Raw genomic sequence first — 22,863 nt, forward strand, 5'->3', positions numbered from 1 at the left:
CATCTGCTGTGCAGCTTCTTGGCAGCCAAGTACTGTGACAGGCCCTTCACCCAAATCCTGCCATGGGGACAGGGGCGTGGGGATTGTTACTTCAATTTTGTAGGTGAGAAACTGAGGCTCCAAGAATTCAGTCCTTTCCCCTAAATCACACAGGCAGTGACACAGCTGAGCATTTGGAATTCTGCATTAGGGACTGGCTGCACAGTTCATAGATGTAGGTACAATACTGGTGATAGTAATATCTGTCTCATAGATTTGAAGTTATGTCTCATAGTTATGAAGATTAACATTTATAAATATCTAACTGAATATTTGACACAATAAGGACTTAATACATGGGAACTGCTATTATTGTCATCATTCTTGCGGTTGTTGTCATCTTCATTATAATCATCATCATCTTTTAAGTCCTACCTAGGCCTCTACTGCAATGGGATCAGATGGTTGGCACTTCATAGGGGTCCAATAAATTTTTACGAAATTGTTGAATAAGGGAAAAAATGTATTTACTGCTCTTCTCAACTTCCTTCTTGGCACCAGATTTTAAAGAACTTAGTAGAACAAGTCAGCTGCATTTCCCTTCAGTAGGAAGGGCAAGGGCAATGCACATCTGTCAACTTGCAGGAAACAAGGGAGCAGGATGGAGGGCCCTGAATGTCTCTCTTCACTGCCAGAACAGAGAACTGCAGGAAGGACATGTCTGTTCACAGGTGTTCATATCTTGATAGGAATTCTGGCGTTTAATAATTATCGTGCTCTCCCAAACAGCAAGCCCTGCCTTGATTTCCTCTCTGAACTCCCACAAGAACTTCTCAGGACACTGGAAGTATCCACAATAATGGTTTGTTGCCCTAGTTTACCTCTTGCCTCATCTCCTCTCCCACTAAGAAAGGCTGTAGCAATTTTGCCTATTGGTTGAATATTGACTAGTACTTATTGAATTCCAAGATTCATCCTATTTTTACTTCTAAATTCCAATTATTTTTAGGTAATAATTTAATAAACTGGATTTGTTAGAAATCAAACTCCAAAACCCTTTTAGCCCATTGTTTGATATTTTTAATTGTCCTTTAATCTCTTTCAAAATCTCTCCTTCTGTATAGGGAAGGTCTGATGAATTTGAAATTAATTCTAATTAATCTAATTCCATCACTGATTAAAGCTTTCTGATGTTTCCATCTCAACCTGCGCCCCCACTTCCCCCCGCCTTAGGCGAAGGGCTTATAGCATCCTCAGCACGTACACCACCATCTCATGTCTGACACAGTTCTTTTGAAGATCAGTAACATTTGTTGGAAAATACTGAGAGCCATGAAACTTAGATTCCATTCCAACCCAATGCTTCCCTAACTTGCTAAGGCCAAAAGATTGCCAACTGCTCTGGGTCGCAGTTTTCCCATTAGTAAAATAGAAGACTTGGCCATAGGTGATCTTTTAGAATCCATTCAATTTTTTTATTCTATCAGAAGTCACCTAATGTTTAACATATGCTTGTAGGATAATTCACTTTTTCATTTCTCCTCAAAATGGTTATTTCCCATTATTAAAATATGAGTTTAGGGAGATCCCTTTGAGATTACATATTTTTTCATTATCCAAAAATAACACTTAAATATTTCTCATGGTGAAGTGAGGAATGGTCAATAAACAATGAAATGCAAGCTGTTATAGATGTTCTGCCACTCTATGGAAGTAAGTAACCAATAAAAGAGATGAGAAAAAAAGGGCCAGTATCAGCTTAGGTATTATTTAACAGACAAAATGATCAAATTTTCCAATGGCAAGAGCAAAATTTTATAAATGCTTTTTGCTGCTACTGCAAAACCTCTGGCAATAAAAATAAAACTCTCTTAAGACTTCTTCAAGGCATGGCTTCCAGGCTACTAAAATCTTCCTACCAGGGAAATCTTCTCAAGAGGGAAATGAAAAATGTGTTGATATAGGTGGGACCTAAAAATGTGAATCTAATAAATGAAGAAACATTTATAAACTTGATTATTCCCTTCCTGCCTAGAAATCACCTGTTACTTTTTCCCTTCTTCCATCTTTTCCTCTGATATAGCTAATTCACATATATAAAGTAGAAATACATGGCACACAGGTATCTAGTCTGTCTTGCTAAACCCAGGGCAGGCATAACTAATTAATGATAATCCTCTTTTCCTATGAGTTCTGCTGCAGCCACAGCATCTTTGTCAATGCAACATTCCATGCAGTCACTATCAGAGTTGCCACAATATACTATACTTACTACTTACTTGCCTCCCATGAACTAGAGACAAACTAGATCCCTAGACAGTATGATTTTCCAGCCGCTGTCATAACCTACCACCACCATTCCAAGGCGTAGCTATAACATTCTCCATTGTATGATTCAATAAACTTAAATTTAAAATGGCTGTGAGAGCAGAGGCAGGCAAAGAGAAGTGACTGATTTTAAAAGAAGGAGAATATGAAAGAAGAATAATCCCTAAGTTGCTTTTTATATTAATTATCTATACTCTTTATTGAGCACCTACTCTATACCCAGTCTAGTAAGGACAAGAAGGGTGAGCCTATGCCAGCTTTTTAAAGGCCTTTATTTTACTTCTCCTTTTATTCAACACTATTCAGTGGGAACCTATATTTTACCTCAAATTAACCTTCACACAATCATAGGATTTAGGTCAAAGAGCAAGACAACTAATTTATTACAAGCCTACTGTGTGCCAAGCACTGTGCAAAGTACTTTGCCCTTGCTATTTTGTCTTTTACAATCCTATGAAGATTGATATTATCCCTGTTTTATACATGAGGAAATTAAAACTCATCAAATTAAAGTGACTTTTCTGAGGTCAAACAGCTGTTAAGGAGTGAAGTTTGGCTTTACTTGTCTCTATGCAGTGCATTTTCACCACATCAAATCACCTCTGAAAAAGACCTTAGACATTTGTTGTTCTGTTTAATTAACAGATCGGCAAAGCAAATACTGAAAACATAAGCTACCAGCAACAGACAGAGGATAGTGGCTGTCTCTCCATGTTGTGCCTAGGCATATACCTAAACTGCCCTCCTGCATTTCACATCAATTCCATTGCAAAGGAAGGGGAATATTTGTGGGAGAAAAGAAAACAAAAGAAAAGCAAGCAAATTCAAGACATTTCACTTTCCCCATGAAGACCAAGACAAGACAAGGATGTCACTTCTCGCTACTGCTTTTTGACACATACTGGAAATATTAGCTAATGCAATAAAAACAATAATATGAAATAAAACCGCCTTTGCAGATGACATGATCATTTATGCAGAAAATCTGAAAGAATTGATGAAAAAACACCTCCTAGAACTAATAAGCAATTATAACAAGGTTGCAGGATGCAAGGTTAATATGCAAAAGTCAATTGCCTTCCTATATATCAGCAATAAGAAAGTGGAATTTGAAATTTAAAACACAGTACAATTTACATTAGCATCCCACAAAATGAAATACTTAGATATAAATATGTACAACATAGGTACAAGATTTATTTGAGGAAAACTACACAACTTTATTGAAATAAATCAAAAAGGAACTAAATAAATGAAAGGATATTCAATGTTCATGGATAGGAAGACAATATAGTTAAGATGTCAGTTCTTGCCAAATTGATCTATAGTTTCAATGCAATCCCAATCAAAATCCTACCAAGCTATTTTGTAAACATCAACAAACTGATTCTTGGGAGGCCAAGGTGGGAGGATCACTTGAGGCCAGGAGTTTGAGACCAGCCTAGGCAATGTAGGGAGACCTTGTCTCTACAAAATATTTTTTAAAAAACAAAAATTTGCCACGCATGATGGCACACACCTGTAGTCCTAGTTACTCAGAAGGTTGAGGTGGGAGGACTGCTTGAGCCTAGAAGTTAAAGGTTACAGTGACCTATGATGAAGCCACTGCACTCCAGCCTGGGTGACAAAGCAAGATCCTTTCTCTAGTGAATAAATAAATAATAAGTAAATAAATAATTTTTAAAAATTGATTTCAAAGTTTATATTGAAAGGCAAAAGACTCAGAATAGCCTATTGAAGGAGAAAGTATAGACTAGGTGCAGTGGCATGCACCTGTAGTCCTTGGTATTTGGGAGGCTGAGACAGGAGAATCGCTTGAGCCCAGGGGTTCGAGGCCAGCCTGGGCAACATAGCAAGTTCATATATCATTTTTTAAAGTATAGTATTGGCAAAAGAACAGACAAATAGGTCAATGGAATGGAATGGAGAGCCCAGATATTTGACAAAGAAGCAAATGTAATACAATGGAGAAGAGACAGCTATTTCAACAAATTTTACTGTAACAACTGGATACACACTTGGAAAAAAACATTAATCTAGACAGAGACCTTATACCTTTCACAAAAAGTCACAGACCTAAATGTAAAACTATAAAATTTCTATTAGATAATATAGGAAAAATTCTAGATGACCTTGGGTTTGGCAGTGACATTTTAGATACAGCACCAAAGGCACAGTCTATGAAAGAAGGAAGTGGTAAGCTGGAATTCATTAAAATCAAAAATGTTTGCTCTGTGAACAGCACAGTCAAGGGAATGAAAAGATAAACCAAGGATTGGGAAAATATATTCCCAAATGACATGTCTGATAAAGGACTGTTGTCCAAAATATATAAAGAACACTTAAAACTCAATAATAAGAAAACAAACAACCCAATTAAAAAATAGGCCAAATATTTCATCTGTATGTGAAATCTAAAAATGTTGAACTCATAGAAGTAGAGAGTAGAATGGTGGTTACCAGGAGCTGAGGGGAGGGGGATTGGGGAGATGTTGGCCAAAGGATACAAAATTTCAGTTAGATAGGAGGAATACGTTCACTATATTTATTGTACAACATGGTGACTATAGTTAATAACAATGAATTCTATTCTTGCAAATTGCTAAAAAAGTGGATTTTAAGTTTTCTCACCACCAAAAAATGGTAATTACATGAGATAACCCATATATTAGTAAGCTCAATTTAACCATCTGCAATGTATACAGACTTTAAAACATGTTGTACAGAATAAATATGCACAATTTGTATTCATCCACTTATAAATAAAGTTAAAATTAAAAAGACTTTTGTTCCAGAAAGAAGGTGAAAGTAGAAATATGTAATGTAGCATAGCGAAAATTTCCTCATATGGTATTAGAGAAGCTGCTTTAGTGATGATATATCCCCTTCCATGGCTAATGGTATGAAATGCAGGAAGCCTTGCTCTGGCATCCCCCACCTGGTTCTTCAGGCACAGTACTGCTTTTAACAATGAAGTTTGAGGGAAACCTAGGGAAGCTGTACCCTCTCACCCATCCTTATTGTGAGCACATCCTCTGAACTGTTAGTTTGCTGGTTCTATAGTAGACAGAAAAAGTGGCCCACTGCGGTCAAAACTAGTCAAAAGTGTTTCCTATACTCGACATTTTTCTTCTTCTTTTTGGCCAAATTTTTATTCAGAAATTTATGTTAGCTTTAATTTTTCTTGCTTATAGAAACACATTTTCCCAATGATTTTTACCTACAGCCAGACACTGATGGTCATACTTGGCTGATGGATGCCTGTGACACAGCATTAATGTCTCTTCCCCATTCCTTGCCCCTCAGAAAAATGGGCCAAAACCTTCAGAAACACCTCACCAAAGAAGATATACAGATAGCAAATAAACATATGAAAAGATGCTCTACATCATATGTCATCAAAGAAATGCAAATTAAGCAGCAGGATACTGCCACACACCTATTAGAATGACCAAAATTCAGAACACTGACAACAAGAAATGCTGGAAAGGACGTGAAGCAACAGGAACTTTCATGCATTGCTGATGGGAATGCAAAATGGTACAGCCACTTTGGAAAACAGTTTGTTGTTTTCTTACAAAACTAAACATATGCTTACCATACAATCCAACAATCGCACATTTTAGTATTTACCCAGAGGAGCTGAAAACTTATGTCCACGCAAAAACTTGTATATGGATATTTATACAGCTTTGCTTATAATGGCCAAAACCTGGAAGCAACCAGAATGTCCTTCAGTAGGTGAATGGATAAACTATAATACATTCGGACCATGGAATATTATTCAATATTAGAATGAAATGAGCTATCAATCTATGAAAAGACATGTGAGGAAATTAAATATATATTATTAAGTGAAAGAAGCCAATATAAACAGGCTATGTACTGTATGATTCCAAATATGACATTCTGGAAAAGGCAAAACCAGGGACACAGTGAAAAGATCAGGGGTTGAGAGGGGAAAAAAGGAGGGATGAGTAATCAGAACATAGAAGATTTTTTTAAGGCAGTGGAACTGCTCTGTATAATACCATAATAGTGGATACGTGTCATTATGCATTCATCCAAACTCCTAGAATGTACAGCACAAATAGTGAACTGTAATGTAAATGCAGTGTGTAGGTGTTTATACAAAAAAACAGATGGAAAGATTTTGTACATAGCTCTATGTGAAAATGTATTTATTTATTAAGAGCAAAAATATGCTTATTTCAAATTTCCACGTACGACTTTTTCAAAAAGACACGATCCACTGAAATAACCCTCCAAAAGAATTTCTATAATCTATAGCAGGTGTACATGTTGTTAATCAAGTGCTTAATGTTACTCGAGCTAGCCCATTAATTTTAGATCACTGCAATATATGGCATGGGTGAAATTATATTTTTATAGGCTATACATTCATTTTATTGTACTTTGGGGCCTTTTGTAAAATCAATAAAAACATTTTCATGCTTTTTTTCTAAGACATGAAATACAAGTTTGCTATTTAAATATAAAGGTGCACATTTGCATAGTTAAATTTATGACATAGGCTCTAACTGTGATTTATGCCACAGTATCAATAATAACATATTTTTGTGCAATATGCAAACTTTCACGTGCATCACTATTCCTGTGGAAAAAAAAATGAAAGGAACCCACTACGTAGCAACCCAATTTGTGACAATTTCCAGAAACTCCTGCAGAGAAAAATGATGACTGTGAAAAACAGTTCCTGTTCTTTGAATTTGCATTTACATAAAGGAAAGTAGAAAATTAATATTATTATATAGATAATTCTGGCAAAAGAAACCACAAAAAACCCTGCAATATCCAAATCAATAATGGAAATAAAAAGTATGGTTAGGTCCAATACTAAACAATGGCCTAGTTCTCTCTCTTTTTCAGGGCAAGGGGAGATAGGGAGGTTTAACTCTGTGTGTATTTACCATCTGATGTTGGAATATTTTGAAAAGTTTTACAAGGCTTCAGATTTTCTTAATAAAGATTAAGTTGTCTGCTAATAAAATTAATCACTCTTAATGAAGGCAAAACCTTTTCACAGTACATGGGGGTGTGTAAAAGAAAGAAAATTATCTGTTGCAAAAACCCAGGGATTTTTGATATTTTGATATATAGCTTTACAGAGACACACATACATATGCGCTCATATATGCAGTCCTCATTTTGCTTTTGTTTTTCAAAAATGGAAGCACATGAAATAAGCTCTTCTATGGCTTATTTTTATCTGTCAGTATATAGTGGATATCTTTCTTTCTTTTTTAAAATTTTTGTAGAGATAAGGTCTTAGTAAGTTGCCCAGGCTGGCCTCAAACTCTTGAACTCAAGCAATGCTCCCTCCTCAGCCTCCCAAAGTACTGGGATTACAGTCATGAGCCACCATGCCCAGCCTACAGTGGATGTCTTTCTATGCATTAAGTGTTAATATATACCATCACTTTATATTTTTAAAATATTTTGTATAGTTTTAATGTATACCATCACTTTAAATAGTGAGTTTTTGCTGCCAATCTCAGAATATACATGATAATTCATATTTTGAGGCCAGGAACAGCAGCTCACGCCTGTAATCCCAGCACTTTGGGAGGCCAAAATGGGCAGATCACTTGAGCCCAGGAGTTCAAGACCAGCCTGGGCAACATGGCCAAACCCCATCTCTACAAAAAATTAGCTGGATGTGGTGGCATGTGCCTGTAGTCCCAGCTACCCAGGAGGCTCATGTGGGAGGACTGATTGAGCCCAGGAGCTCAATGCTGCAGTGAGCCATGGAGCCATGATCATGCCACTGCACTCCAGCCTGGGCAACAGAGCCAGACCCTGTCTCAAAAAAAAAATCTTGTCTTACTGCATTGATTAACACCTTCAAAATAACGGTAAATAACAGTAGCAATTGATGATTGATATCCATGGCTCTTATTTTCTTTTAAAAAAAGGATTCTTGTATTTTACCAGTAAGAACTGTTGGATTTTGAAATGAGAGGTTTACATTTTGAACATAGCAAAAAATTATCCTATTCTAGTTTTGTATAAGAGCTATAATCAAGTTGTACTTAAAGTTTTTTTTAAAAAAGGTTCTATAATAGTAAAAATACATTCACTTTTCTGGTAAGCATCTTTGTGTTACCACTCAAGCCATCCATTCAATAAATATATATTTAGCTAAACATTGTCCTAAGCACTCGGGATAAATATAAGGCCCACACTTTCTAGCACAGTTGAAGGCAATTACTTTTACTCTGAAGCACCTATGGGACACAGCCCAACAGTGGGGCAGGAGAGCAATGGTACTAAATGGAGAGAGGGGGACACTAACTAGAGGGGCTTATTGTAATGGAGAAGGGAGGCAGATCAAAGCACCCCCAAGTGATTCTGATATGGCCACCCAATTGGGCACTGGACTTTGGTAATATCTAACTTTAATTTAGGGTTTTACGGTTTTACTTTATAAAACTTACACGATGTTTTTACCAACATCATTTACTTTACCCCTAACAATAAACTTCACGTTAAACATTATCTCAACATTACTGAAGAGGAAACTGAAAGTTGGAATTGTTTAGAGGTCAAAGCTAAGCCGAAAATCAAAACTTGTGCCCTTTGTACTTACCCTTGTAAAATAATTGAATAAATGTAATACATGACTTAATAATTTTCATAATTTTTGGCAGTGGGATCTAGAATTCATTCTTCCCTGATTTTTTACCCAATCTCTCTCATTTCCTCCTTCAAGCAGAGAATCACCTCTTAATCACAACAGGCCTTTCCAACCAGTGTTTTTTCCCAATTCTTCTGAAGTACAGGAATACCTAAGACCAGTTCCCCAGGAAATTCCTGGGTTCTTGACGCACATTGACTTACGCTATCAAGAGGTAAGAGAGAAAGTGCAGGGCCAAAGTCTGTGCTGCACTACGAAGCATTTTGGCTTTCTATCAAGCTCTCAAGGCTTAAGGCCATTACCAGGGAACCAACACCTTCAGTGGATAGCCACACTCCTATGGCTTCCAATCAAGGGCAGCCTGCTTCTTCTCCAGAATGAAGACTGCTTCAGTCCCAGAGCCCTTGTCCTAATCTACCTCAGTTACGGGGCACATGTGAAAGACTGTTTGGGCAAAGGATGTTGTATTTTTCTGCCTCTTTGCAACTTAAGGAATATGAGAGGAAGAAAAGTGGTAGAGGGAACTCAGGAGGCCAGATCAGAAATTCAGTCTCTGCTGAAAACTGCCCCAGATCTCACTGCTAAAGTGGGATCTTGAGAGCTCTCTGGCATATTAAATATTCATCAAAAGTCAAACACTATTTTTTCAACATTTGACTGAATAAAAGTATAAATTTGTCCCATCTCTACTCTTGGATTGCTGTTATACATAGCACTAAATTACAGTTTTAATGAAGTCAGTTTAAAAGATGAGGAAAAAATCCTTTGTAGTTTATTCCTGCATTTCATTTTCTCTTAATTTAATCATAAACTAAAGAGATTCATAAATGTTTATGGAGGGTAATAAAGTGATATTTTTAATACAAAGGTTGCTTATGTAATTAAGCATACATTCTATGACATTCTATGTAAGTTGAAATGGTTTGCATGAAATTGACAAATACTTATATCTGTTTTATTTCTCTCTGCATTAATGACAAATCATAAAACAAAAAGAAAAGAAAAGTAAGTTCCTGGCAATGTAAGTACCTACAGTTCGCAAATTGAAACTGCAGATGCTGCTAAAGACTGTATCTTTTTCTTGGAAATGTTCCATTAAATTTAATTAGATTTCTCATTTGCTTTCCTTTTCACTCTGTCTCTGGACCTCTCTCTCTCTCTTTCTCTCTATTTTTCTCTCTCTCTCTCTCCTCTAGATATTAGGAGAACACTATATAAGTTGTTTTAAAATGGCCCACATAATATGAATGAAGGAACAAATCACCATAAGAAAAAAAAGTGCCCATTTTGTAATCCTATAACTATTACATGATAAATTGTCCTGAACGTACTGCTACCTCAAAGCACCCTGACCATTAACTAATACCGTGATGCTCACGATATCCATACTCACTCTTCATAAGCTTTCCTTTTTGAAATAAAATGGAAAACTCTGCTTAAAGAATTAAAATTATATCCTATACATTTCAGGGGTTTTTTTGTAAAGAGAATTGGAAGTGATCTAATCTTTTATTGTTATAGCATTTTATCATCTGGCTGTCAAGAGGTGATTCTTTTTCCTCTGAAATGATCCACTCTCTTTTATGTTTCATGTTAGCATTTCAAATCAAGTAAAATGACATGTTCATGATGTCCAAGAAAATTGAGAGGAGCTACTGAATTGTGTTTCCCTAAGTTCATTTACACTTTAGCAGCAAATCTTGATGATCAGAGCCTAAGGATGCCTAAGTTTACATGGAGTGGTAATGGTTAAGTAAATTGATTTGGGTAATTTTTCAACCTCATCTACACCACACTAAGACCAAAGTTCTCTAAAAATTTCTGAAATAATGATTTTTATATAGTTTCATTAAAAGTTTTAAAAGTATCTATCAGCATTTTCTGTAAAAGTGTCAGGCTGAAAAGATACCACTAAACAGTCAGCTCAAAAAAGATAGTAGATAAAATATGATGAATTGCCACGTCTGCATTTCCTATGTTTGCAAGCCACCAGTAAGACTGCATGATTTCCAAGTTGGAGGACAGAGTCTAGGAATGTGAAGGATGAAGGGTTTCTTGTGCACGTTCTCTTGAGCACGTACGCCTTCAGAAGGTAGATAGGCTAACCTGCATCACTGGATAAAAACTGGATTTCCTCTTACTTTTTCATGTGTATGTGGCTCATGTAGATTTTGGTATTTTTCTGGAAAATATGTTCCCGCTGTCTACTGAAGTAACTGTGTAATAATTTCCAATTTTCTGCTGGGCATCACCTCATGGACACCATGCCAACCCTTTAAACTCCATTTACCCAAAACCATACTCAATTATCCCCCCATTAACCTTTTCCACCTCATGTTTCTTTTATCAAAATTCAACTTTTCTTAAATTTGGCCAGACTAAGAAACTTGGAAAAATCTCCCACATCCCCTTCCCTGACACTCAAACATCTACCAACTCTGCTGTGTCTTCTGGTGTATGTTTCCACTTTTCTATAGATTCTACCTCCATTAAAGTCATCTTCTGTCCTGACCCCTACATTAGCATTCTTACGTCTGAAACCTCTTGCTTCTCCAAGCTGTATATCCTCCGGCTTGAGACAGCTTGAGAGCTGTCTCTCACTCAAAAGCATTACAATCATCTTTTCCTAAAAAAATCTGTCTTCTAAACACATGAGGAAAACATTCAAACTCTAGCACATGCCAATTAAGGAACTTGGTACAATGATCTCATCCTGTCTCTTCCGTCACATTTCCTGTTACTTGCCTCCAAGAACACTAATCGTGGCCCCAGTATACCATGCCCTATCACCCTCCCCTGATTCTGCTGCCCTCTCTGCCCAAAGTACCTCTGTTAGAGTTTCTACCTGTAGACATTTATCTTCCAGTGTGACTCAGCTTATAGGCCCCACATCATGAAGCTTTTACAACCTGCAGTATTATGCATTTCCCCTTGTCCTATACATCCAAAGTACATTTTCTCTACCTCTGGATTTAGTATTTACAGTATTCTGCTACATGTGATGTTAACTCTTTGTACATCTGTCTCTTCAGTCAGGTTGCGTGCTCTCTCACTTATTATTCCATCCATCAAAAGTCTCCTAGGTTCATATCTCAGCCTCTAATTCTAGACAGTAAGGATACCAAGACCTAGTTCCCTCTCTCAGGGAGCTCTGTCTAGTAAGTAATAAAACATGTTAATAAAGTTACATGGTGAGATAACTGTAATAAGGAAGTCCAAAGGGCAGAGAATAGGGAGACAGTGTGATAAGCACCAGACTTAGATTCAGAAGACCCAAGTTCAAGGTCTGGCTCTGCTATGTAACTGGGTTATCTTTATAGTAAGCAAATTTCCCAGTTGCAGCTTTCTCATTTGCAAAAGGAGCACCCCTACCACATAGTGCTCTATAAGAACCAAAATAAAATTAAATAGTAAATTTCCATTTGTGCCACCAGATCTACTCTTAATCCTTTTTTCCCTACTCCCTAGAGGTTGACCATTAAGGGCTGCATCAGTGGGCCTTCTTGCCCTTTGTCTTCAAGTGAGGTTGAACCAATGAAGAGCACCTGCAGGGGATCAGAAAGAGGGAAGAGAGTGGGTGGTGATATGTATTTCCCCATCCCCTTCCTACATGTCACCCTAGGATGAGAGAGTCCCTTGACTGAAGGACACAGCTGCTGCAAGTGGGTCCTCTCTACAGTCTTCATATCTCCAGGTTCTGCTGGAGCAATTACCTCCCCCATCTGGCTCCTTAGGACCTAGAGGTAGTAAAGGCCCCAGAGTAACTGGCCCCTGTGGTCTCCCTGTACTCTACCCACACCTTAATAAACAGTCCCTTTATTAAAGGCTCCTTAAATTACCAAAGTCAGGTTTGCCATCTGTTCCCTGCCACGACTCTAAATGATAAAACTGCTTTTGAAATTTTAAGTTGCTGTCTAAATGCAAGGTATTTCTCGTTTATCTCTGTGTAGCACTTTACACAAAGCAGATTGCTGCTATTAATAATAAATGGTGAAATGAATATATGCAAGAATGAATGAGTGAATGATCCTGCCCCCTTCCACTTTAGTTACAGTCTTATGCTGGGGATATATCCTTGTCACCTTGATTAGATTTTGTAATGCCCTGATTTGATTTGGGAGGTCCCCTTTTCCCTTGGAACTCACCGTCTCTTAGAGTATCTGCAGAAATGTCAGCCCTTGTATATTTCTAGTGGTTTAACTTGAAAGGGCCAACTTTGTTTCCAATTTCTAGAATTATCCCCCTTCTCTAGGCTGCACATTTACTTGATACCAAAAATAGGTTACTTATTTGTTTATTCATATTTTTTCTTCTTCAACATAAAAACTGGCAAAAAAAAAAAAAAGTCAAAAGCAAGCAAATTGATTGTTCCTTTATTACATGGGAACCAAGATCATATTTAAGGAGTCAGCAGCCCAGACTGGGGTAGTTTTCTCAAAGCACAATAAATAAACATGAGGCAAATAAGTTCCTCTACTGCCCCCTTTTACAAGCAAAAGCCTAGCCAATGACTGGGCAATTGGATAGCCTAACCAAAAGATCTAAACAAAATAAATCACAGAATCCAGTAGCTTGATATTTATGAGGAACTGAAATAGAGGCTGATGGATTAGCTTTTTATATTAAATTAATTTATTTCCATCAATTATAAATTATCCTTGTCTCCTGAATGCTCACCTATCTCAATGATATAAGAGACAAGCATTTCTTCTTATTTTAATATGACAGTTACTGAGGTTGATGGCTTACAAATGAGAAACCGACCCCTGGAAACTGTCTTCAGAAAACAAATTTTTGAGTTAACATATTTAATAGTATGCCTTGAAACTGAGTGGGTATTATTCATTAGCAAATAATTGCATAACTGGAATTCTTAATTAAAATTTGTGACGAGAAATGAATCTGTTTATTTTATAATTATGACCCAGAAATTCAGAACATATTGTGGTAGTTTATGAACATAATTCCAAAGATTTTATTATAGCAAAAGAATTCATAACGCCTTAAACAGAAACTCTTGGAGGAAAAATACACACGCACACACACAAACACACACACAGTGTGTGCAATGATATAGTGGCAATAAGATTTGAAAAGCCAGCCATCGAATACAACTATAACCAAAATATTCAAATTTAATGGGTGCGTGATATTGTTAAAAACCTCTAACCAGTCCTTCTGGACCTTTTTGGATTTTCCAGAAAAGCTCTCAGCCAAAGAGGTTTTCATTTTAGCTGTGTAAGTGAATCTCAAAGGCAGACGACGGCAAATTCTGTGAGGCTCCTGTTTTAAGCTTTCCTTAAAAATATCAATTTGAAGTGATTTTTTCAGCATATATCACAATTCAAGCTTCTAGAAGACAGCCACCAAGGAACATACCCTAGCAATTGTCAAATGAATCAGATAATGTTTAAATCTAACTTGGTTGCTGGGGCCAACCTACTGATAAGAAAGTTTGTTGTAAAAATGTATAGGCGTGGCCGGGCGCGGTGGCTCACGCCTGTAATCCCAGCACTTTGGGAGGCCGAGGCGGGCGGATCACGAGGTCAGGAGATCGAGACCATCCCGGCTAAAACGGTGAAACCCCGTCTCTACTAAAAATACAAAAAAATTAGCCGGGCGTAGTGGCGGGCGCCTGTAGTCCCAGCTACTTGGGAGGCTGAGGCAGGAGAATGGCGTGAACCCGGGAGGCGGAGCTTGCAGTGAGCCGAGATCCCGCCACTGCACTCCAGCCTGGGCGACAGAGCGAGACTCCGTCTCAAAAAAAAAAAAAAAAAAAAAATGTATAGGCGTGAATTATTTTTACTCGCTGACTGGCAATTGATTAGGTTCGAAGGCCAGAGGGGTTTGGGAACCAGAACTTGAGCAGTACACTTCGTGGAACCAAACAAAAGTTAAACAAACTAAGTTTCTCTTGAGCCTCCTTCTAGGACATAAATGAACCCCCCGTAACTGGGACTGGTGGAGGGAGCACTTCTTGCCACTTCACCACAGCTTAAGAGGGCATTTTGGACTTTAGACAACCCCTATTATTAAAGCCATACTCTAACAGTGTTTGCTTTTGATTTTTATCCCAGAACATCAGCTGCTTCCTGTCCCCCAAACATACACCACCCTTCACTCCCTTGCATATTAGCAGTGTAATTTTAATAACTTCAATATATTCAATGTTAATAAAATGTCCATAATAGTAAACATCCTATCTGAGAAGGCAAACAGGAAAGAAAAGATTGTTTTCATTTTTAGTGCCTCTTATTTGGAAAGATGGAAATTACCCAGAATTCTATTCTCTTTTCCTTAACCAGTAGGTGGCACTAGTGGTTTCTGGCAATGAATCAGCTCCCTGTACCTATAATGTAGGGGTTTTTGGGTGTAAAACAATCAATGCTTAAGATTTGGGGGAAGATGAGGAGCATGTGAACATATGGGCCTAAACAGTAATTGAAACATTTATAGCTTAACCAAAGAGGTTTATTTTAATATAAATCTGCATGGTGTGAAATAGGTCTTATTATTCTTTACAAGTGATTCAGAGCAGTTATATGAATAATAGAATGTATATAATATACAGAGGTTTAAACTATGCTATGAATCCTATTGCAGATGTCCTTACACTGGATTTTATGTGACAAGCAAAAATTATTAAAAATTTTGACATTGAAGCACACATTTACTTGTAGTTTAGCTTTGAATATCTAATTGTGGGTTTTTACATTTATTTCCTGTGTTATCCAAGACATAGTTTTTAAAACTTGTGCTTATATCATTTTTCATAGAATGGTATACTAGAAAAAAAATAAGGATTGAGGGGCAAACAAACCGGGATTAGAATCTAGGCTACCACCTACTAGGACAGAAAACCCTAATAAGATAGTTATTTTAACCAAGCCTAGGTTTCTTTGTTCATAAAATGATGTCTGTCTCAAAGAGCTGTGGTGAGAATTAATACTATTGTATCTGGCCAGGATCTGGGATGAAACAGGTATCCAGTCAGTTCCTTCTCCCTTTGTCAGTTTGAATTTTGAGGTTGGCAGAAGCAAATAATAATAATATTAGGTGGGGAGGTTTGTTTTTAAAAACCAAGTTTTAAGTATATATTTTTAGAAGTAAATAAACTTTTAATTTCTACCACTTTTAATTAGTTTCATTATCTTTCTCCTTGGTTAAGACAGTCTAACATTTAATAGGTATTATTCAGCTCCAATTCTTCAAGGTCAGAGGCTTGGTTACTGTAAATTTGTAGAGAGAAGTCTGTCAGGAATTTGGAGTCTCAGCTTTCTTTTTGTTGGGATATAAGCTGGCATTCCAGTATCCTAAGTATTCCTTTTCAAAGTACAGATAAGCACAATTTAGTGACTGACTGAGTTGCCAGCTTTTTGTATGACCCACCCTTCAAAAAGTTCGTTTTGCTTCTGTTTGTTCAAATATCTTTGATAAAATGATAGTCTTCATATCTCTTGTCTGTTTGCAAAAGAGCTAGTGTTATTAAAGGCTGTTTGCTGTTCATCTTTCTTATGGAAAAACAATATTTTTTTAAAGCCTTATTCTTATTTCGCTTGGGCACTCAGTGTCCTTCCACACAGTGACACCTACAGAGTCATTAGCAAAATTAGATAAGTAACTGATTTATTAGTTCCATAAATGCATGGTGTATTCCCTTTCCTCAGAGTGTAGAGCAAAAATTATTCATGCTGAGGTAGAATAATCAAAATGACTTTAAAAAGCACATTTTTATCATTCTAAACATAAGCACTGCTGTGGTGGTATACTATCATACTACATAATAATAGAAATGAATTATGTCAGTAAAATCTTGAGGCTTAAGATTTACTGTGATAAATATTTTTCATTAAAGTGAAATATCTTGGCAGAGTCACTTTCATATGCAGACTGTTGACACAAGGAGGCCAGCTGTGCCTATGCAGATGCCGAGATTTGGGTCTATATTATTAATGATTTATCATGTCATGGAGAGCTTAGATTAGTTTTGAAAGCAATCCCTTGCCACAAAAGCACTTTCTATAATGTGCGAACGCAAGGAATACTATATGTGCATTCCAAATCAAAGTAATCACAGAAGCTGCAGCAACCTTTGAAATTTCAATACCTCTTTTTATTTTGAAACATGAAATTCTACGTCCTAAATTTTATTATTCATTAAAATTCATACAAAATGTTATTTCATATCAACTGGATAGTGAGTGGTGTGTGTATCAGAATTAATAGACATATACACATAGATAAGAAAATGAAGGAGATGGAATGGAACAAACATTTATTGCAAACCTATTGTGTAGCATGGACTTTTGCCCTTAATCTCACATTTAATGTGAGGTTGGATTAAGTTTCAAATTCAATTCTGCAGGATTCCCAGATTCTGCTGCCTTTGGAGAATCTATAAAAGCATTGTTTAATATTTATTCAGTGCTTGCTTTGTTCCAGGTCAGATGCTAAACACTTTACATGCATTACCACATTCTGTTTTTATAAAATCAATTTGAATATTATTATCATCATCCCTGTTTTCCAGATGAGAAGACTGAAGCATGTGTGGCTAAATAAATTATCCCAAGTCACAAGTCTAGTGAGAGGAGGAGCCTGGGTTTCAATCCAGACTAATATTCCAAAGACTTCATTATCATCTATTGCTATTAACTATGACCTCACTATTATTAACTACTATTACAACTAAGTAAGGGGTAGAATTCAACTCCTACTTGCTTACTACTCTGTGACATTAGGCAATTCACTTAAACTCTCTAAGCTTCAGTTTTCTCATCTATAAAAATGATAATAATAATAATAGTACTTACCTTGTAGCATTGTTGCAAGTTAATATTTGTAAAATGCTTAGAACAGAGTTTGGGTGCATATTAAGTACTGATGTTTTGTTTAATAACAGTTAAGAAGTTGTACTTTCTGATGACTGATGAACTTTTATTAACAATTACACACACAGATTTTCTGTAATTTTCAGATGACCGTTATGCTTCAAACTGGACTGTAAACAAAATGACTACTTTCCACTGATGGGAAATGTATGTAGATAATGTTTAAGCATAATCACTAACCATGTAAAGCATTGAGCCCTTTACAATTTCTTCTGGTGAAAACACTCAATTATCTCCATTCATCCATACCTTCCTTCTTTTACTCATTTAACAAACATTCTCATGCCAGTACTTTGCTGAGTCCTGGGGACGCAGGATGAATAAATGGAGAAGGATCCAATCTAGAGCTGACTGTATTCTCTGGTTTAGCACATAAGGGAGTGTGAGAAAGTCGTAGGTTCCATTGTTAGATCTGTTTAACAAGTATTTATTGGGCGTCCATTAAATGCCAGGCACTGTGGTGGGCACTGGGACTGTCTAGGTAAATAGAGATTGCTGCTGTTAAGGAGTGTCGAGTGGGGAAGACATGCTAAATCGGTAATTTGCCTTCAATTTACTTAATTACGTAAGTGAACTGGTTAGGGGAGCACAGAAGAAAAGCACTTATGCCCATGGTAGGGGCTAGTGGGATGAGGCAAGTTTTGACATTTAAACAAATTGTTGGCTAGAAGTCAGGAAAAGCAGAAATTAAACTACATACCAATATGGGGATGGAGTACCCAGAAAGCAGAGACACCATGAAACAGTGTGGCACAGTGGTGAACCGCAAGTTTCTGGGTAATGCTAGCATCTAAAGCATAAGGTAGGGAGAGGGGGGAGTTAGACTGGAGAAGTAGCAAAGTTAAAAGGTTAAAAGTGTGTAAAATCAACTGATGAGACCAAATGCTAATAAACCACAACAATGGTAGCTGCATAAAGAGTTAGCAGTTTTCCTTAGACTTCTTTCCACTAAAATCCAAATAAAAGGAGCGTTGTTTTCCTATCAAGATTCTTGGAACCAGGGAAATGATAAATGCTTAAAAGTAATATTTTGGTCTTGACCAAAAGGTAAAGGATACCATTCGTACCATGCCACAGTGAAGAGCCTACTTCCTACCTCTCATCCCCAGCAAGCCAAATATAGGGATCGACTCCGAAGTCTTCACTGATAATGTAGACTGAAAACACGGCTAATCCATGGCTTGAAACGACCTACCAGCATATCCTTCTGCAATCTAAAAGTTTATTTTTTCCTGGATTTAGGAACTCAGTCTAGGGCAAATTGCACTCTTCAGGTGGCACTCTGGAAAGCTGACGATTGTGGAATTTTAGCAAGGAATTTAGGAATCTCCAGAATTTAATTTTTTTTCCCTCTTTGCTGCTACTGCAGATGCAGGACAACTCAAGAGCTTTCTGTCTCCAGGTGGGTGGCGATTTGACTCCTCATCAAGCCAATGGCCACCCCCTTGCAATCTTTATGCAATGCACAGTATCCTCTGCCTGCAACGGGGGCTTGCTCCCTTGATGGAGAAAATACAGAATAACTGGACGCCAGGAAACAGGCACAGCTTTCTGGGTCAGAAGTTGGCTGGGGAAGGGCCCTGACTGCCAAGTAACTTGCAATGATGTCAGAGCCCAGCACAACCAGAAAACACCAACTAGCCGGCCAACAAAAGACCTAATAACAACAGGAAAAAAATCACAGAGCTGTGTTGCCAAAGCTGTTCTTTCCGCCCCCTACTCTTTTCTTCTAATTGGAAGAACAGCAGGAAAGAGTCTATATTTTAAAAGACTCCTCATCCTTCTCTCCCCTTCTTTCCTTGGGTTACACAGTGTTAACTAGGGAGGAAATAGTTCTCCGGATGAGTCCTGCAGCAGTTGCTTGGGGTGTCTTTTTTGAGTTCCTTTTCAAGGCTGTCCTTGGAAGTTTCAGAAACAACGAGGACCAGGGTATTTTTCCTAAATGTAAACATGTAACTGTGTTTGGGAGAAAGCAGGAACCATTGAGGAAAGGAAGTCCTTTCTGCGCCCCTCTCTTCTCTCTTTCACGGTAATTAACCATACTCAAATGAAAATTAAGTTTGGCGGAAAAAGCTCTCTTCTTTTTCTTTAAACAGGGGCATCATGGTTCATTCTAGCCATTTAGAGCCCTCAGTGATCCATAATTCAACTGGAAATTAATAAAACACAGCCCGTTCTTGGAAATGAAGTTTGAATTAAAATCCTCTTGTTTTGGAATATGTGACTTTTTTTTTCCTTTCATTTGTGACAGTCAATTTTAAATGATGTCACTTCAAGGACATTTTCATTTCTCCCACAACATATTACATGAAACACTTGCCTGTAAAACCGGGTCATTAGCCTGCAAAATTATACTGTACAGAATGGCTTTCATTCAAAGTAGAAATGGGATTTTTAGTAGGCAATTTCTGTATTTTATAAAGATAAAGCAATGTTTGATTGCTTTCTTCCCAGCTGTTTTGCTTAGTGGTTATAAAGAGAAATGGGGGGCGGGGGGGTAATGTGGGGGCGGGTTTGTAAAGATGTGCTTAAAAAATAAATCTTACACTGGAAAACTAAGGCAGAACTTCACGGAACAACTGCGCCCGCAGCTCTCCTGGGCTGCAGTGATTTGTCCTCTGGGTTCTGGAGGAAAGCTCTGAAAGAAGTGAGCGAGAGGGAAAGAGGGAGGGAATCGAAAAGGTTGCTTCGCAGGCTGCAGCACCCACTGCGAGCTGGATGACTGAGGCACTGGGAGTTGCTAGAAGGAGCAGCTACTCAGAGGTGGGGAGAGGGAGGGTGCGCAGCAGAGCGCCGGAGAGGAGGGACGCGGAGGCCACCGAGGGGTCAGCAGGGCCGCGGCGCCAGGGTGGGGGCCTCCAGGCGGCGCTGGCCACGGTTCACCCGCGAGGGCGAGCGCGCCCGGCCGGCCGCGCCTCCTGCCGTCCGTGCCCGGGGGTGGGACCCGCGCCGGGAGCTGCCGAGTGCGTGGAGGGAGCCAGGCTCCGGCTCGCCTGATGGATTGACTTGGAGATGGATCGAATTACACCATTTGCCGTGCATCGGTTTGTTTTGCTCCTGCTCTGTCCCGCTGCTGCTGCTGCTGCTGCAAGGGGTGGTGGCGAGTTTCAGGATTCTATCAAGGAAGCCAAGACCTAAGGAGACAGAGGGATATCTATTTTTACAATATTTTTCTTTATTTTCTTTCTTCCTTGCGCGTGGCAAGCTTTTTTTTTTCTTTTTCTTTTTTCTTACCAGCCTCCCCCCAATGAGGTAAGACCGTTTTCAACAATTTGCTAATGCTCTTGTGGCGCCCGGTGGGGGTCGGAACCTGAGATCCCGAATCGCTGTGTGTGTGTGTGTGTGTGTGTGTGTGCGCGCGGTGGGGGTCGGAACCTGAGATCCCGAATCGCTGTGTGTGTGTGTGTGTGTGTGTGTGTGTGTGTGTGTGTGTGTGTGTTGCCACTGGACAGTTGATTTATTTTCCAAGCTGCTCTCTCTGCCTGCCGTGCAAGGGACGCGCAAAGGGCTAGAGAGGTTTGGCGGACGCGTCAAAACTGGCAAAGCTGGCGGCTTAGGGGGAGGGGCAAGTGGACTTGGAGGCCCTCCTCCACTGTGCACCCCCTTGGAAAAAAAGCGGAGGGGGCATCAAGTAAAAGTTTCTTGCCAGGCAGAGCCAGCTCGGCGTCCCCCGCACATAGCTGGGGTTAGCAGGGGTTGCTTCTCTGCCGGGCACAGCGTCTCCAGGAGCCAGCCGGGGAGAGCTGAGCCAAGGCCGAAGGAGCCGCCTGCGGGCTTAGCCGCCCCCTCCCGCCCGTTGGCCCCAGAGCGGACGCTGGGACGCCCGGGGTCTGGCAGCTCTGCGCCCGGCTAGGAGCGGGCGGGCGAGCATTAGCCTGCGTCCTGGAGAAGGGGCGCAGCGCCGCAGTTGAGGCCGGAGCAGCCCCTCGCGGGCGTAGGATACCTGTCAGTGAGCGCCCGGATTGCACGGCCCCCGGGTAGTGCCTGCCGGCGAGGGGCGGGAGCTCGGGTGACTTGGCCATCCCCATCCCCGGCCCAGGCCCGGAGGGCGGCCGCTTCCCACCGTCCCTCTCCCCTTACTGGCAGAGCGCGCTGCGGGCGGACTCCCGGGCCCGGAGCAGCCCACCGGCCACCCCACCGCCCACCCGGCTCCCGGTGTCTCCTCCCGGCCGCTCTACCCAGCAACTTTCCGTGCTTTGTTCCCCGACTGGAAATGCTTTACGGAAGCGTCTTGGACAGGGTCTCCGCCAGGCGACAAGAGCTCGGTGCTGAGATGTGTTACGTTCTCATCTCCCCATCAATTATGGATGGAAACAAATAAGGAAGAGTCAATTTTGCTGAGCCCCTTCTCCGGCAACGAGAGGCGTTCTGCAGCCGGGAGGGAGCCGCCGCTCGCGCCGGCAGCCGCTGGCAGGGGCATGGTGAGGAGGAAGGTAGGGAAACTTTTATTTCCCGTCTTGACAGCGGCGGTGTTTGTCCCTGGTCTGCAGAAACTGATACAGTAGCCTCCTTCCTTGGGTAATTTAGGAGGGCTTGAAGCTTCTTCTGTCATGTGTAATTCTTGGATTGAAATGAAAGGTCATAAAGGACTTGGAAGTGTGCACGAGAATTGGGTTTGAAAAATTTGTGCTCCATCCACTCTTGGGACCATTGCTGTCAGGTGATTGTTTAAATCCTGAACTTGTTAAAAGGCGAAATGTCAGGGAGCTGGCGGGGGTGGGGGTGTGGAGGGGGATTGAAGTCCCGGTATGAATCGCAGCGTTTGAGGAACTTAGGGCAGTACTCCCTGTTCTGGGGTGACCATTCGGTAACTGATGTTCCAGCATCCCGAGCCCTCAGCGCCGTCAGCTGGATGATCTCACAGGGAAGGCGCAGCACATCGTTACTATAGATATATAGACTTCGTCAACAGTCATTGGACCTTATGTCTGCCACTACAGCGGGGGCTTTCCTTTAAAAATAACTGTAGTGTTTCCTGTTACTTGGGGTGAAAGGGCAATGAGTAGG

At 39.6% G+C, this 22,863-nt stretch overlaps 1 protein-coding gene across 9 annotated transcripts in view, besides 1 other annotated feature; it reads left to right on the top strand.

Moving 5' to 3' along the window:
• Window positions 1-22,863, top strand: part of SEMA6D (semaphorin 6D) — a 590,140-nt gene that overhangs the window by 512,496 nt on the left and 54,781 nt on the right. For 5 of the 9 annotated variants that reach the window (NM_020858.2, NM_153618.2, NM_153617.2 and 2 more), the window contains exon 1: window positions 21,508-22,289. The exons of 1 other annotated variant lie outside the window; for it this stretch is intronic. The gene's annotated coding sequence lies outside the window, so the exon portion shown is untranslated. Of the gene's footprint in view, window positions 1-20,920; window positions 21,109-21,507; window positions 22,290-22,863 lie in introns of those variants that run through there. 3 more of the 9 variants (NM_001358351.3, NM_001358352.2, NM_153619.1) reach the window with 2 other exon arrangements.
• Window positions 20,748-21,042: a silencer, noted in NCBI's record as "tiled region #212; HepG2 Repressive non-DNase unmatched - State 4:PromP". NCBI's record gives its function as "represses a minimal TATA promoter and a strong SV40 promoter by Sharpr-MPRA in HepG2 cells {active_cell/tissue: HepG2}" and the evidence as "EXISTENCE:reporter gene assay evidence [ECO:0000049][PMID:27701403]".

This window comes from Homo sapiens, chromosome 15 (genome assembly GCF_000001405.40).
Source record: "Homo sapiens chromosome 15, GRCh38.p14 Primary Assembly".
In the NCBI taxonomy this organism is placed as follows: Eukaryota; Metazoa; Chordata; class Mammalia; order Primates; family Hominidae; genus Homo; species Homo sapiens.